The sequence below is a fragment of the Homo sapiens genome, chromosome 10 (assembly GCF_000001405.40).
Source record: "Homo sapiens chromosome 10, GRCh38.p14 Primary Assembly".
In the NCBI taxonomy this organism is placed as follows: Eukaryota; Metazoa; Chordata; class Mammalia; order Primates; family Hominidae; genus Homo; species Homo sapiens.
The window spans coordinates 103,199,211-103,214,494 of record NC_000010.11 but is presented as its reverse complement, the minus strand read 5'-3'; the positions used below and the strand labels follow the sequence as shown (position 1 = coordinate 103,214,494).

The window sequence follows — 15,284 nt, the reverse complement described above, 5'->3', positions numbered from 1 at the left end:
CCACCTCAAAAAAAAAAAAAAAAAAGAAAGGGTAGTATGGCACTGAACATGGAGGCCTACATTTGTTTGACTCTCTAGTCTGTATCTCTTTCTACCCTTTTGTCCTAATCCTCTGTGTATTAGTTTCCTACTGCTGCTGTAACAAATTATCATAGATTTAGTGGCTTAAAATAACACAAATGTACTATCTTACAGTTCTGGAAGTCAGAAGTCTGAAGTGGGCTTCAATGAGCTGAAATCAGGAAGTCAGCAGGGCTGCATTCCTTCTGGAGACTCTGGGGAGCAATCAGTTTTCTTGTGTCTTCCAGCCTCTAGAAGCCTCCTGCATTCCTTGGTTTGCAGTCTTCTCTCATCTTCCTAGCTTGCAGTGGCAGGTCAGATCTTTCTCACATGCATCACTTGGACCCTGACTCTCTCTTTTCCACTTTCCCATTTTAGGATCCTTGGATCTACCTGGAAAATGCAGGCTCTTCTTCCTATTTAATATCATCTAGTTAGCATAGTTAATTTCATCTGCAGACTTAACTCTCTTTTGCCACGTAATTGTAACATAATCACAGGTCCTGGGGATTAGGCCATTATTCTGCTTACCATGCTGCTAAGGTTAGATGCAGATCCTAGTACTTTACCCATCCTTTTTCTTATAAGCATGGATGGCTAGTATCTGACCAAAGAATTAGTTGAAATGAACTTTTTTGTGTTTGGTGAAAGTAAAAGTTATAAATTCAACTACTTGCCACTCAAATGAAAGAAGATTAATTTATGCTGAACCCAAGATGACTCTTGTTACAACAGGAGTGCTCTAGGTGTCAGGTAAGGGAGGACCCTAGTATCTCACGCTTCCGTGTCAAGAGACCACCAAACAGGCTTTGTGTGAGCAATAAAGCTGTTTATTTCACCTGGGTGCAGGTGGGCTGAGTCCGAAAAAGGAGTCGGCAAGGAAGATAGGGGTGGGGCCGTTTTAAAGGATTTGGGTGGGTAGTGGAAAATTACAGTCAAAGGGGGTTTTTCTCTTGTGGGCAGGGGCGGTGGTCACAAAGTGCTCGGTGGGGGAGTTTCCGAGCCAGGAGAAGGAATTTTACAAGGTTAATCACTCAGTTAAGGTGGGGCAGGAACAAATTACAATGGTAGAATGTCATCAGTTAAGGCAGGAACTGGCCATTTTCACTTCTTTTGTGATTCTTCACTTGTTTCAGGCCATCTGGATGTATATGTGCAGGTCACAGGGGATAAGATGGCTTAGCTTGGGCTCGGAGGCCTGACATTCCTGTTTTCTTATATTAATAAGAAAAAACCATAAAATAATGTTGAAGTGTTGGGGCAGAGAAAATTTGGGGGGGTGGTATGGAGAGATAATTGGCAATGTTTCTCAGGGCTGCTTCGAGCGGGATTAGGAGTGGCGTGGGAATCTAGAGTGGGAGAGATTAAGCTGAAGGAAGATTTTATGGTAAGAGGTGATATTGTGGGGTTGTTAGAAGGAGCATTTGTCATATAGAATGATTGGTGATGGCCTGGATACAGTTTTGGATGAATTGAGAAACTAAACGGAAGACACAAGGTCCGAATAAGAGAAGGAAAAAAACAGGTATTAAAGGACTAAGAATTGGGAGGACCCAGGACATCCAATTAGAGAGTGCCCAAGGGGTTCAGTGTAATTACTTGCTTGCTTGGTGAGTTTTTGGGCTCTATCCTTGAGATTTTTTATGTTGTCATACACCAGGACAGATTGATTTAGGTAAAAACAACACTCTTCATTTAAAAATATAGAGTCCTGTTTTTTTAGCAGTGAGTAAGTCGAGGCCTCGGTGATTTCACAGGAAAGAGAAATGCAAAGCCAGCAATTGTTTGTTAAAGAAGGATTAGAAATGGCTAGGAGAGAGTGGAGTGAGATTGATAGCATGGTGGAGATAGCTAGGGAGAGGTAGAGGGTGGCGTAAGAACAGGAACGAGAAAAAGAGTGAGTATAAAAGTAAAGAATAGGACTTCTTCAGGGTGGAAGTATCAGTGTGCCCTGTCAGCAAAGATCACCCATCCACTCCAAGAGGGAGTCAAGAGTGGCAGACTGGGGATAGTATCAGGAGATATCCGCTACGATGATTTGGAGGAAAAGTGTAAACCGGCAGTATAAACAAGGGCAGGGCATTTACAAGTAGTTGAGAATGGTGAATAGGAGTATGACTAGACGGAAGATAGTAAGGATGACAAATTTTTGGGGTGCAGTCCAAGTAGTGGGGGTGACTGTGTAAAGCCCTGTTATAAAGAGTATGGTAAGGAAGGTGAGACCTAATAAAAATGAAAGGATGTATTAGCCTTATAAGGGTTACTATTATCCTTTAGGAATGCAGGTGAGTTTAAGGGAAGTAGGAGAGAGTACATGTAACTCCCAGGAGGAAGATGAGAGATCAGGCTGGCTGTCCGATGGACACAGCTTTATTCTGGATCAGTGAACCTAATGGGGAGGGCCCTGCAGGCAGACGGCAGTTGGGGTACTATAGATGACTAAGTAGGGTCTGGCCCCTCAAGGTTGTAGAGTTTGAGGGGTCAGATTCTTAACAAGAACTGATCGTCCAGCTAGGGTGTCTTCATATGGCTGGGAATCTGGAGTAGGCAAGAGAAGATTAGCAGCCTGGCAAATTTCCTGTCTAGCCTGCTGGAGGACTGGAAGATAATCACCTAGAGGGCTGGTGTCTGGAATGAGACTGGGGCCTAATAAAAAGTAGCATCCATACAGAAGCTCAAATGGGCTGTACTCTGTGGCATCTTGAGGACAGGCCTGAATTCTGAGAAGGGCAAGTGGTAAAAGTACTGTTCAGTCCTTTTTTTTTTTTTTGAGACAGAGTCTCACTTGTGTCCCAGGCAGTGGCGTGATCTCAGCTCACTGCAAGCTCTGCCTCCCAGGTTCCCGCCATTCTCCTGCCTCAGCCTCCCGAGTAGCTGGGACTACAGGGGCCTGCCACCATGCCTGGCTAATTTTTTTTGTATTTTTTAGTAGAGACAGGGTTTCACCATGTTAGCCAGGATGTCCTGACCTCGTGATCCGCCCACCTCGGCCTCCCAAAGTGCTGGGATTAAAGGGGTGAGCCACCGCGCCCGGCCTCAGTCCTTTTTAAGTTGGAGGCTGAGTATGGTGAGGTGTGTCTTTAAAAGACCATTAGTTCTTTCTACCTTTCCTGAGGATTGAGGGCAATAAGGAGCATGAAGTTTCCATTGAATGCCTAGGGACTGGGAGACTGCATGAGTGACTTGACTAATAAAGGCTGGTCCGTTATCAGACTGTATAGAGGTAGGAAGGCCAAATTGAGGAATTCTGTCTGATAGAAGGGAAGAAATGATGGCAGTGGCCTTCTCAGACCCTGTGGGAAAGGCCTCTACCCATCCATTACAAGTGTCTACTCAGACCAAGAGGTATTTTAGTTTCCTGACTCAGGGCATGTGAATAAAGTCAATTTGCCAGTCCTGGGCAGGGGCAAATCCCTGAGCTTGATGTGTAGGGAAGGGAGGGGGCCTGAACAATCCCTGAGGAGTAGCAGAACAGCAGATGGAACACTGAGAAGTGATTTCCTTAAGGATAGATTTCCATGATGGAAAGGAAATGAGAGGTTCTAAGAGACAGGCTAGCAGCTTGTAACCTACATGGAAGAGGTTATGAAATGACGGCAGATTAGAATGGGCCTGTGAGGCTGGAAGGAGATATTTTCCTTGGTCCAAGAACCATTTGCCTTGTGTGGGAAGAGATTGATAGGTGGAAGTTTCAGTGGGAGAGTAGGTGGGAGTGATCGATGAGAAGGAGAAAAACTGGCTGTGAGGGATAGAAGTTGGAATGCTAGCTGCTTTTTTAGCTACTTTATCAGCATAAGCATTGCCCTGAGCGATGGGATCTGATGCCTTTTGAGGGCCCTTGCAATGAAGGACTCCAGCTTCCTTTGGAAGTAAAGTGGCCTTGAGAAGAGTTTTTATTAAAGAGACATTAATGATGGAGGACCCTTGCATAGTGAGGAAACCTCTTTCTGCCCATATAACAGCATGGTGGTGCAGGATATGGAAGGCATATTTAGCATCAGTATAAATATTGATGCATAGTCCCTTTGCAAGAGTGAGGGCTCGAGTTAAGGCAATGAGTTCGGCTTGCTGAGAGGTAGTGGAGTGGGGCACAGTGGTAGCCTCAAGGATAGATGTGGAAGATACTATAGCATAGCCTGCCTTTGCTGGTGAGTGGCGATTAGGCCTGGTGGAACTGCTATCAATAAACCAAGTGTGCTCAGGGTGAGGAACAGGAAAGAAGGAAATATGGGGAAATCAAGTGAATGTCAAGTGGATCAGAGAGATACAGTCATGGGGGTCAGGTGTGGCATCCAGAATGAGGTGGGAGGCCGGATTGAAGTCCAGGCCAGTAACAATGGTAATTGTGGGAGACTCAACAAAGAGTGAGTATAGCTGAAGGAACTGGGGAGCATAAAGTATATGCGTCAGATTTGAGGAAAAAAATAGATTTTGGAAGTTATGAGAACTGTAGAGAGTGAGTTGAGCATAGTTTGTGATTTTGAGGGCCTCTAAAAGTATTAATGCAGCAGCAGCTGCCACACACAGATATGAGTGCTAGGCTAAAACAGTAAGGTTACATTGTTTGGACAGAAAGGCTAACGGTGTGGTCCCAGCTTTTGTGTAAGAATTCTTACCGCACAGCCCTGTAGTTTGGCTGTGTGTAATGAAAAGGGTTGGGATGAGTTAGGGAGAGCTAGTGTGGGACAGTTTTTAGGGCTGTTTTTTAAGGAATGGAAAGGGGAGTGGGGAAAGGATTTAGGATTTATGGGGTCAGCTAGGTTTCCTTTTATGAGTTTATATAATGGTTTAGTCAGGATGGTAAAACTAGGTATCCAAAGGCAGAAGTACCTAACCATGCCTAGGAAGGAAAGGAGTTGTTGTTTTGTAGAAGGGGTTGGGGTTTTGGAGATAAGCTGGACATGATCAGCAGGGAGAGCACATGTGTTTTTATGAAGAATTATGCCGAGATAGGTAATGGATGAGGAAGAAATTTGGGCTTTGGAGGGGGATACACAATATCCTTTTGAGAATAGATGTTGGAGGAGCAGAAGGGTGTCCTGTTGGGAAGTTTTGTAGGAGGGGCTATAAAGTAGAAAGTTGTCAAAATATTTAATAAGGTGAGAAGCAGATGGATGGAAAGAAAGTAAATCATGAGAAAGGACTTTACTGAAGTAATGGGGGCTGTCGGTGAAGCCTTGCAGCAGTACAGCCCGGGTAAGTTGCTGAGACTGATGGGTGTCAGGGTCAGTCTATGTGAAAGCGAAGAGAGGCTGGGATGAAGGGTGCAAAGAAATAGTAAAGAAAGCATGTTTGAGATGCAGAACAGAATAATGGGTTGTGGAGGGAGGTATTGAGGATAAGACAGTATATGGGTTTGGCACCACGGGGTGGATAGGCAAAACAATTTGGTTGATAAGGTGCAGATCCTGAAGTAACTTGTAAGACTTGTCCCGTTTTTGGACAGGTAAAATGTGGGAATTGTAAGAAGAGTTTATAGGTTTTAGAAGCCCATGCTGTAGCAGGTGAGTGATAACAGGCTTCAATCCCCTTAAAGCCTGTTGTGGGATAGGATACTGGCGTTCAGTGGGGTAAGGGTGATTAGATTTTAGTGGGATAGTAGTGGGTGTGTGATCGGTTGCCAGGGAGGGGGTAGAGGTGTCCCATACTTGTGGGTTAAGGTAGGGGGATACGAGGGGAAGACATGAAGGAGGCTTTGGGTTGGGAAGAAGGGTGACAATGAGATTTGGCTGTAGTCCAGGAAGAGTCAGGGAAGCAGATAATTTGGTTAAAATGTCTTGGCCTAATAAGGGAACTGGGGCCAGGCACGGTGGCTCACGCCTGTAATCCTAGCACTTTGGGAGGCCGAGGTGGGCGGATCACGAGGTCAGCAGATCGAGACCATCCTCACTAACACGGTGAAACCCCATCTCTACTAAAAATACAAAAAAAAAAAAAATTAGCTGGGCGTGGTGGTGGGCACCTGTAGTTCCAGCTACTCTGGAGGCTGAGGCAGGAGAATGGCATGAACTCAGGAGGCGGAGCTTGCAGTGAGCTGAGATCGCGCCACTGCACTCCAGCCTGGGCGACAGAGCAAGACTCCATCTCAAAAAATAAAAAATAAAAAAATTAAGGGAACTAGGCAGGTGGGGATAACTAAAAAAGAGTGCATAAAATAATGTTGTCCAAGTTGGCACCAGAGTGGGGGAGTTTCAAGGGGTTTTGAAGCTTGGCCGTCAATACCCACAACAGTTATGAGGGCAAGGGAAACAGGCCCTTGAAAAGAAGGTAATGTGGAGTGGGTAGCCCCTGTGTTGATTAAACAGGGGACGGACTTACCCTCCACTGTGAGAGTTACCCAAAGCTCAGCATCCATGATGGTCCAGGGGGCTTCCAAGGTGATCAGGCAGCGTCAGTCTTCAGCTGCCAAGCCAAGCAAATCTGGGAAGCAGTCAGTCAGAGAGCCTTGGGCCAGACCTTTAGGGGCTCTAGGAGTGGCTGCCGGGTGAGCTGGGCAGTCTGATTTCCAGTGGGTCCCTGCACAGATGGGACATGGCTTGGGAGGAATCCTGGGCTGCAGGCATTCCTTGGCCCAGTGGCCAGATTTCTGGCACTTGAAGCAACAGCCTGTTGGAGGAGGTCCTGTAGGAATGCTTGACTGCTGCGGCTTAGGCAGTTTGAAGTTCTTGTGTGCTGGAGGTGTGGCTGGGTTTTGTCTCACAGCAAAGGCAAGTAATTGTAACTCAGAAATGCGTTGCTGTCTGGCTGCCTCCTCTCTATTATTGTACACCTTGAAGGTGAGGTTGATTAATTCCTGTTGTGGGGTTTGAGGGCTGGATTCTAATTTTTGAAGCTTTTTTCTAATGTCAGGAGCTGACTGGGTGATAAAATGCCTATTTAGAATAAGACGGCCTTCTGACCCTTCAGGGTCTAGGGCTGTAAAGCATCTCAGGGTTGCTGCCAAACAAGCCAGGAACTGGGCTAGGTTTTTGTCTTTACCTTGGGTAGTTTCTTTAAGCTTGTCAAAATTAACAGCTTTGTAAACTGCCTTTGTAAGCCCATCAACTAGGCAGGAAATCATGTAATCTCGCCTAATTATACCTGGGGAATCTGCCTGATAGTTCCATTGGGGATCATCTTGGGGAACTGCTCTAATGCCTTCTTGGAGGTCTGGCTTGTGAAGCCGGTGGTTATCAGTGTGAGATTGGGCTAGAGAAAAAACTCTTTCCTGTTCATCTGGGGAAAGGGTAGATGTTAGGATGACATTTAAATCACTCCAGGTTAAATTGCAGGACAGAGTTAGATACTGGAATTCCTATATATAATTAGTGGGGTCTGATGAGAAAGAGCCTAAACACTGACTGATCTGAGAGAGGTCTGATAGAGAAAAAGGCACAAGTACCCTGACTATGCCTTCAGCTCCAGCCACCTCTCTAAGAGGAAATCGTTGGGCAGGTAGGGGAGAGCCAGTCATGGAACAAAACTGTAAGCTGGACTGGGTGTGAGGAGGGGAGGTGATAAAAGGATTATAGGGTGGAGGAGCAGAGGCTGAGGAAGATTTGGAGCCTGATTCAGCCTGGCAGAAAGCAACATAGGGAGCAGTCTGGGGAGGAGGGGAGAGGTCAGATGGCTTGGTAGAAAAGGAAGATTGGAAAGACTCAGCAATGCTTGGGGTTGGGACTGAGGGGACAGGCGGTAGGGAAAGAAGGAGGATTTGGGACGAATTGCATTGGGAACAGAGACTAGGGAGGGAACGAAGTGTGAAAAAATGCCTGTATGTAAGGCATCTCAGGCCATTTACCAATTTTTCGACAAAAATTATCTAGGTCCTGTAGGATGGAGAAATTGAAAGTGCTGTTTTCTGGCCATTTAGAGCATTTATCAAGTTTGTATTGGGGCCAAGCAGTGTTGCAGAAGAAAATAAGGCATTTAGGTTTTAGGTCAGGTGTGAGCTGAAGAGGTTTTAAGTTCTTGAGAACACAGGCTAAGGGAGAAGAGGGAGGAATGGAGGGTGGAAGGTTGCCCATAGTGAAGGAGGCAAGCCCAGAGAAAAGAGAGAGTAGACACATGGAGAGAAGGGGTGGGAGGGTACTTGCCCCCCAGGGGAGGTGGTGCTTGCCACCCAGTGAAAGTGGTACTGGCCACCAAGGTGAAGGATCAAGGCCAGACATCCCCCTGGTGATCAGACACCTCTGAAACGTGGGTAAGCGTCCCCACAGTGATTAAACACCAAGAGAAGACTGTCTTCCTGAGTCCGTGACCAGAGCTGGAGTTTTGGGTTCACAGATAAAACGCATCTCCTCTGTCTCTACCAGAAAAGGAAAGGAACTGAAATTAAGAGAAGGGAGAGATTGAAGGGTGGTGCCAAAATCGAAAGGAGAAAGAGGTTGAAGGATAGTGAGAGAGGTTGGAGAAGAGAGTAAAAATAGGCCACTTACCTGATTTAAAATTGGTGAGATGTTCCTTGGGCTGGTTGGTCTGAGGACCCGAGGTCGTAGGTGAATCTTTCTCATGGAGCAAAGAGCAGGACAGGGTATTGATCGCCCAAGGGAGGTCCCCCAATCTGAGTCATGGCACCAAATGTCATGCATGTCCGTGTGAAGAGACCACCAAACAGGCTTTGTGTGAGCAACAAGGCTGTTTATTTCACCTGGGTGCAGAAGGGCTGAGTCCGAAAAAGGAGTCAGCAAGGAAGATAGGGGTGGGACAGTTTTATAGGATTTGGGTGGGTAGTGGAAAATTACAGTCAAAGGGGGTTTTTCTCTTGTGGGCAGGGGCGGGGGTCACAAAGTGCTCGGTGGGGGAGCTTCTGAGCCAGGAGAAGGAATTTCACAAGGTTAATTGCTCAGTTAAGGTGGGGCAGGAACAAATCACAATGGTTGAATGTCATCAGTTAAGGTAGGAACCAGCCATTTTCACTTCTTTTGTGACTCTTCACTTGCTTCAGGCCATCTGGATGTATACGTGCAAGTCACAGGGGATATGATGGCTTAGCTTGGGCTCAGAGGCCTGACACCTAGATCATGGTGGGCTTGGAAAACTGTCTGAGTTTCAGGGACTGCACCCTATTTATGCCAATGAAATACCAACATTGATGCCTAGCATCTGACATCTGAATTGGAGCCACAAAAGGTGCTGAAGAGACTAATACTCTGAAGGTGAGGTGACATAGGGATTTATAATCCCTGATCCTGCAATAGTGAGTTTCTTTAGGTCAATTGTATAGTTTCTGTAGTACTCAGAAGATTATTTTTCAAAGTGGCCCTTTGGGCTAGCAAACAAGAAAGAGACACATGAAGTCAATGTTGCCTGGGCAGCAGACAGCAGGGGGTGGCTCGGATTGGCTATTACCATGGCAACATTGATTGCTGTCACAAGCACCGGTGAGGCAGATAGTTAACATTTTCAGAGAACACAGGGACTACTTGCATCAGAATTACTTAGGAATTTGTTTAAATTTCGAATTCCTAGGACCCAAGGCCAGAGAGTCACGATTGGTAAGACTGAGATATGGTATGGAATCTGCCTTTTAGAAAACTCCCCAGGCAACCATACCTGATGAAATTTGAGAACCACTGATTAAAAAAATACAGTGCATCCCTGTTACAAATCCCTATATAAACCCATCTCACCAGAGCCATTTTCTTGCTTACAAGGCCTTACAATCTTTAAAAGATGCAGTAAATGTGCTGATCTAGGAATTTATACTGATAAATGCCCAAGTTTTTTGAGTGCTAAATGTTTAAGTAGGTCTTTCAAGTTTTCAGCAAGCATGGAACTTTTTTCTTTCTTTCTTTTTTTCTTTCCTTTCTTTTTTTTTTAAATTGAGACAGGTCTCACTCTGTCACCCAGACTGGAGTGCAGTGGCTTAATCATGGCTCACTGCAGCCTTGACCTCCTGGGCTCAAGCGATCCTCCCACTTTAGCCTCATGAGTGGCTGGGACTACAGCTACAAGCCATCACAGCCAGCTAACTGTTTTTTTTGGTTTTTTGTTTTTTTGGGTTTTTTTTGAGATGGAGTTTCACTCTGTCGCCAGGCTGGAGTGCAGTGGTGCGATCTCAGCTCACTTCAACCTCCACCTCCCGGGTTCAAGTGATTCTCTTGCTTCAGCCTCCCGAGTAGCTGGGACTACAGGCGTGTGCCACCATACCCAGCTAGTTTTTGTGTTTTTAGTAGAGATGGGGTTTCACAATGTTGGCCAGGATGGTCTTGATCTCCTGACCTCGTGATCAGCCCGCCTTAGCCTCCCAAAGTGCTAGGATTACAGGCATGAGCCACCATGCCCGGCTGCCAGCTAACTTTTTAAAAAAATTTTTTGTGGATATGTGGTCTACCTATGTTGCCCAGGCTGGTCTTGAACTTCTGGGCTCAAGCAATACTCCTGCCTCAGCCTTCCAAAGGGCTGGGTTTTCAGGTGTGAGCCACAGTGCCTGGCCTAGAACTTTTTTTCTAAGTAACATCTATTAATATCTCATAGAGCTGTCATACCAAAATGTGCTCTGAGACTCCCAAAGTAAATTTCCCAAATTGGGAAATTCAGCTCAATATCACTGTGAAGGACTAGGGTGGGATCCAAGAAGGGGACAGCATGAACCAGGACTACAGAGGATGGCTAAGGTGCAGGACTAGGTTCTTTATACCACTGAGACATACCATTCTCTCTCTTGCAAGGACAGACTCAGGACATAAAGAACACCACCAAGAATATAGGCTTCCTGATGTTTCTGAGAATCACTGCTGTCATGAGCCAGTCTCTAATGGTGAATTAACCCTCATGAGGGTTAAGAACCAGTTGAGCAGGCCTAGCGCGGTAGCTTACACCTGTAATCCCAGCACTTTGGGAGGCCAAGGCAGGCAGATCACTTGAGCTCAGGAGTTAGAGACCATGCTGGCCATCATAGCAAAACCCCATCTCTACAAAAAATACCAAAATTAGCCGGGTGTGGTGGTGTGTGCCTGTAGTCCCAGCTACTTGGGAGGCTGAGGAGGGAGGATGGCTTGAGCTCAGGAGGCGGAAGTTGCAGTGAGCCGAGATTGTGCCACTGCACTCCAGCCTGGGCAACAGAGCCAGACCTTGTCTCAAAAAAAAAAAAAAAAAAAATTTAAGAACCAGAAGATTAGTGGATATGTGACATCCAGTGTGTTGTTTTTCTATTTCTCTAGTACTACTCTTAACCCAAGGCTTAGGCATATTCAGTTTTGCTAGTTGTAGTGGATACTCTTGGCTGCCTACTTAGCATCCACTCTCCACTCCTTCTGCCCATGAAAAATTCCAGTTTTGCTCAGGTATCCTCTCCATCCCCAGCCCCAGGGACAATATCTAATTTGTTGGTGTATGATCCTTTCTTGGCAATGACTTTTAGTCTGAGGGGTCTGCATGTTTCCTAATTCATTCCAATTAGGTTGAAAGGAAGGACTGTTGTGGAGGAGAGGTGTCTGTGCTTTGTTGACATGAAGGAGGAAACTTGAAGCCATCCTATACATCGTAAGATGAAGCAAACTTTCAGGACTACAGGGCAGAGAGACAAAACTTGGTCCTGTTTTTTTTTTTTTTTTTGAGATAAGGGTGTCATTCTGCCACCCAGGCTGTAGTGTAGTGGGCATATTCTCCTCTCACTGCAGCCTCTACCTCCCAGGCTCAAGTGATCCTTCCATTTTAGCCTCCTGAGTAGCTGGGACTACAGGCACACATGACTACACCCACCTAATCTTAAACATTTTTTGTAGAGTCAGAGTTTTGTCATGTTGCCTAGGCTGGTCTCGAACTCCTGGGCTCAAGCCATCTGCCCACCACAGCCTTTCAAAGTGTTTGGATTACAGGCATGAGCCAGCGCTCCTGGCTGAAACTTGGTCCTTAATGGCAATATTGATTACTGAATATTTACCACAGAGCGTACCATACCTCTGAACTTCCTTATTATGTAAGCCATTTTAACTGGGTTTCTTGTTACTTGTGATCAACAGTTTCCTAATGTCTGTGGTCACCGGTTTGCCTTGCACTCTCTGGTTCATGCAATTTTTTTTTTTTTTTTAGATGGAGTTTCGTTTTGCTCTTGTTGCCCAGGCTGGAGTGCAATGGCACAGTCTTGGCTCACTGCAACCTCCGCCTCCCAGGTTCAAGCGATTCTCCTGTCTCAGCCTCCTGAGTAGCTGAAATTACAGGCACCCACCACCAAGCCCAGCTAATTTTTATATTTTTGTAGAGACAGGGTTTCGCCATGTTGGCCAGGCTGGTCTCGAACTCCTGACCTCAGGTGATCCGCCCACGTCGGCCTCCCAAAGTGCTGGGATTACAGGCTTGAGCCACCATGCCCAGTGGTTCATGCAATTTATATGTAAAATGTAAAAAAGTAAAAGCAGAGAGAAGACAATGGCTTGTGGTCTGAGAGAATCAATGGTATGTGGGCTAAAATGTGTTTAGGTAAAAGCTGTTGTGAGCGAACTGTGTCTTCTTCCTGAGTTGTCACGTTTTTTCAGTTTCCACAAGTGTCCACATCCACAAAACAAATTCATTAAATCAGCTTTTATTTGCATTTCTTATCTCAAAAATAATTATATGTTTGTTTGACTTCTTGTTAGCATAGAAAATTGTTTACTGAGGTAGATATGGAATGCCAAGATGAGAAAATTAAATCGATTAGGAAATGCTCTCACTGACAAATAGTAGAAACTTACCTGTATATACCAGAAGAATTGGCTCTTTAAATAGACAAGTAAATGCACTTTTTCACTCTGACATGAGTTCACCTGAGGCTTTGGTGTTTTTTTTGCTTTGTTTTATTTTGTTTTGTTTGTTTGTTTGTTTTGAGACAGAGTCTCACTTGCTCTGTTGCCCAGGTGAGAGTGCAGTGGCACGATCTCATGATTTCAGCTTACTGCAACCTCCGTCTCCCAGGTTCAAGTGATTCTCCTGCCTCAGCCTCCTGAATAGCTGGGACTACAGGAGCATGCCACCATGCCCAGCTAATTTTTGTATTTTTAGTAGAGATGGAGTTTCACCATGTTAGCCAGGCTGGTCTTGAATTCCTGACCTTAAGTGATCCACCCACCTTGGCCTCCCAAAGTGCTGGGATTACAGGTGTGAGCCACCATGCCCAGCCTGAGGCTTTAGTTCTAATATAAGCGCTGCTAAACCCAAATATGTGAAATGCTCAGGTGGTCTGAACTGCTCTGGTGGAGGGATATGGGTTCTGGTTGCACAGGGAAGAGGTGTTTCATTTTAAGTGCGGCAACTTACCACTTATTTAGATGGATATTTAGAGGCTAAGGTTGGAATGGTTGGTGATATTTTAGATCTACCTGGAAACAAACTGTACTAGTGATTTGCTCAGGTTCCTTCTATGAGAGGGCTGCAGCTTCACAGGGTAGAGGCAGGAACGTAAGAATGAGAGCTGGCTGGGCCTGGTGGCTCACGCCTGTAATCCCAGCACTTTGGGAGGCCAAGGTGGGTGGATTACTTGAGGTTAGGAGTTCGAGACCAGCCTGGCCAACATAGTGAAACACTGTCTCTACTAAAAATACAAAAATTAGCCAAGCGTGGTAGTGTGTGCCTGTAGTCCCAGCTACTTAGGAGGCTGAGGCAGGAGAATTGCTTGAACCCAGGAAGTGGAGGTTGCAGTGAGCTGAGATTGGGCCACTGCACTCCAGCCTGGGCAACAGAGCGAGACTCCATCTCAACAACAACAACAACAAAAATGAGAGCCCTAGTTTGCTTCCTTTTTTTTTTTTTTTTTTTTTTGAGATGGGGTCTCGCACTGTTGCCCGGGCTGGAGTGCAAATGTGGCCATCTCAACTCACTGCAACCTCCACCTCCCGGGTTCAAGCAATTCTCCTGCCTCAGGCTCCTGAGTGGCTGGGATTACAGGGGTCTGCCACCACGCCTGGCTAATTTTTTGTATTTTTAGTAGAGACGGGGTTTCATTATGTTGGCCAGGCTGGGCTTGAACTCCTAACCTCGTGATCCGCCCGCCTTGGCCTCCCAAAGTGCTGGGATTACAGGTGTAAGCCACTGTGCCTGGCTTCTTCTTTTGTTTAAATACTTTAATCCAATTTACAGCATCGTAAAAGGCATTAAAATAAATTCTACTCACAATCCCATCACACCGTCATTTAGTTACTAATTAATTTATTTAAAAGATATATAGGGACTCCCCCAGTGTGTCAGACCCTGGGCTAAGTGCTGTCTCCCTCTCAGTGAACAAGACAGACTGTCCCTGCCCTCTTGGAGTTTACAGGCGATATTGTGAAGGCAGATATTAAAAACATATCACACAAATATTTCTTTCATTGCAACTGTGGTAAGTTAGAGAAGGGAAAGGAAGGTACAGGGCAGCATGAAAGAAAATAACAGGAGGGAATGTCAGGTAGATTGGCTTGGAGATTAGCGAATGCCTCTGAGAAACATTTGAGTTAAGGCCTTCAAGATGAGTATGAGTTAGAAAGGTGAAAAGAGGCTTTCAGGTAGAGAAACAGTTTAACGTAGGGACAACGAGACCTGGGATGTTCTAAGAACTGGAAAATGGAAGTTTGGAAGAAGTCAGGTGAACATGGAGTAAACAGTGCTATTTATGTATTTGATTCCTTTTTTGGAAAGTTAAATTTTTTTTTTTTTTTACTGTGGTAAAATATATATAACATAAAATAGGCCATTTTAACCATTTTTAAGAGTACTATTCAGTGGCGTTAATTACATTCTCAATGTGGTGCAACCCTCACCACTGTCTATGTCCAGAATGTTTTCATCACCCCAAACAGAAACTCTGTCACCATTAAGCAATAATTCTCCACTCCTTTCTTCCCCCAACCCCTGGTGACTGCTAATCTGCTTTCTGTCTCTATGAATTTGCCTATTCTAGCTATTTCATATAAGTAGAATCATGTAATATTTGTCCTTTTGTGTCTGGCTTATTTCTCTTAGCATTTTTTTTCTTTTTCTCTCTGTCCACCAGGCTTGAGTGCAGTGGCACAATCTCGGCTCACTGCAACCTCCGCCTCCTGGGTTCAAGTGGTCATCCCGCCTCAGCCTCCCGAAGTGCTGGGATTACAGGTGTGAGCCACCACACCTGGCTGCGTAATGTTTTCAAGGTTCATCCAAGTTGTAGCATGTATCAAAACTTTATTTATTTATTTCTGAGACAGAGTGTTGCTCTGTCACCCAGGCAGGAGTGCGTGGCATGATCTCAGCTCACTGCCACCTCCACCTCCCAGATTTAAGCCATTCTTGTGCCTCAGCCTCCCTAGTAG

At 45.5% G+C, this 15,284-nt stretch overlaps 3 annotated features.

Moving 5' to 3' along the window:
• Positions 8,698-9,356: an enhancer, noted in NCBI's record as "OCT4-NANOG-H3K27ac hESC enhancer chr10:104964896-104965554 (GRCh37/hg19 assembly coordinates)". NCBI's record gives its function as "activates a minimal SCP1, AML or CMV promoter by ChIP-STARR-seq in naive and primed H9 embryonic stem cells {active_cell/tissue: H9 hESC(naive and primed)}" and the evidence as "EXISTENCE:reporter gene assay evidence [ECO:0000049][PMID:30033119]".
• Positions 9,357-10,016: an enhancer, noted in NCBI's record as "OCT4-NANOG-H3K27ac-H3K4me1 hESC enhancer chr10:104964236-104964895 (GRCh37/hg19 assembly coordinates)". NCBI's record gives its function as "activates a minimal SCP1, AML or CMV promoter by ChIP-STARR-seq in naive and primed H9 embryonic stem cells {active_cell/tissue: H9 hESC(naive and primed)}" and the evidence as "EXISTENCE:reporter gene assay evidence [ECO:0000049][PMID:30033119]".
• Positions 11,947-12,153: a silencer, noted in NCBI's record as "fragment chr10:104962099-104962305 (GRCh37/hg19 assembly coordinates)". NCBI's record gives its function as "represses an EF-1alpha promoter that drives an FKBP-Casp9 reporter gene in an ReSE screen in K562 erythroleukemia cells {active_cell/tissue: K562}" and the evidence as "EXISTENCE:reporter gene assay evidence [ECO:0000049][PMID:32094911]".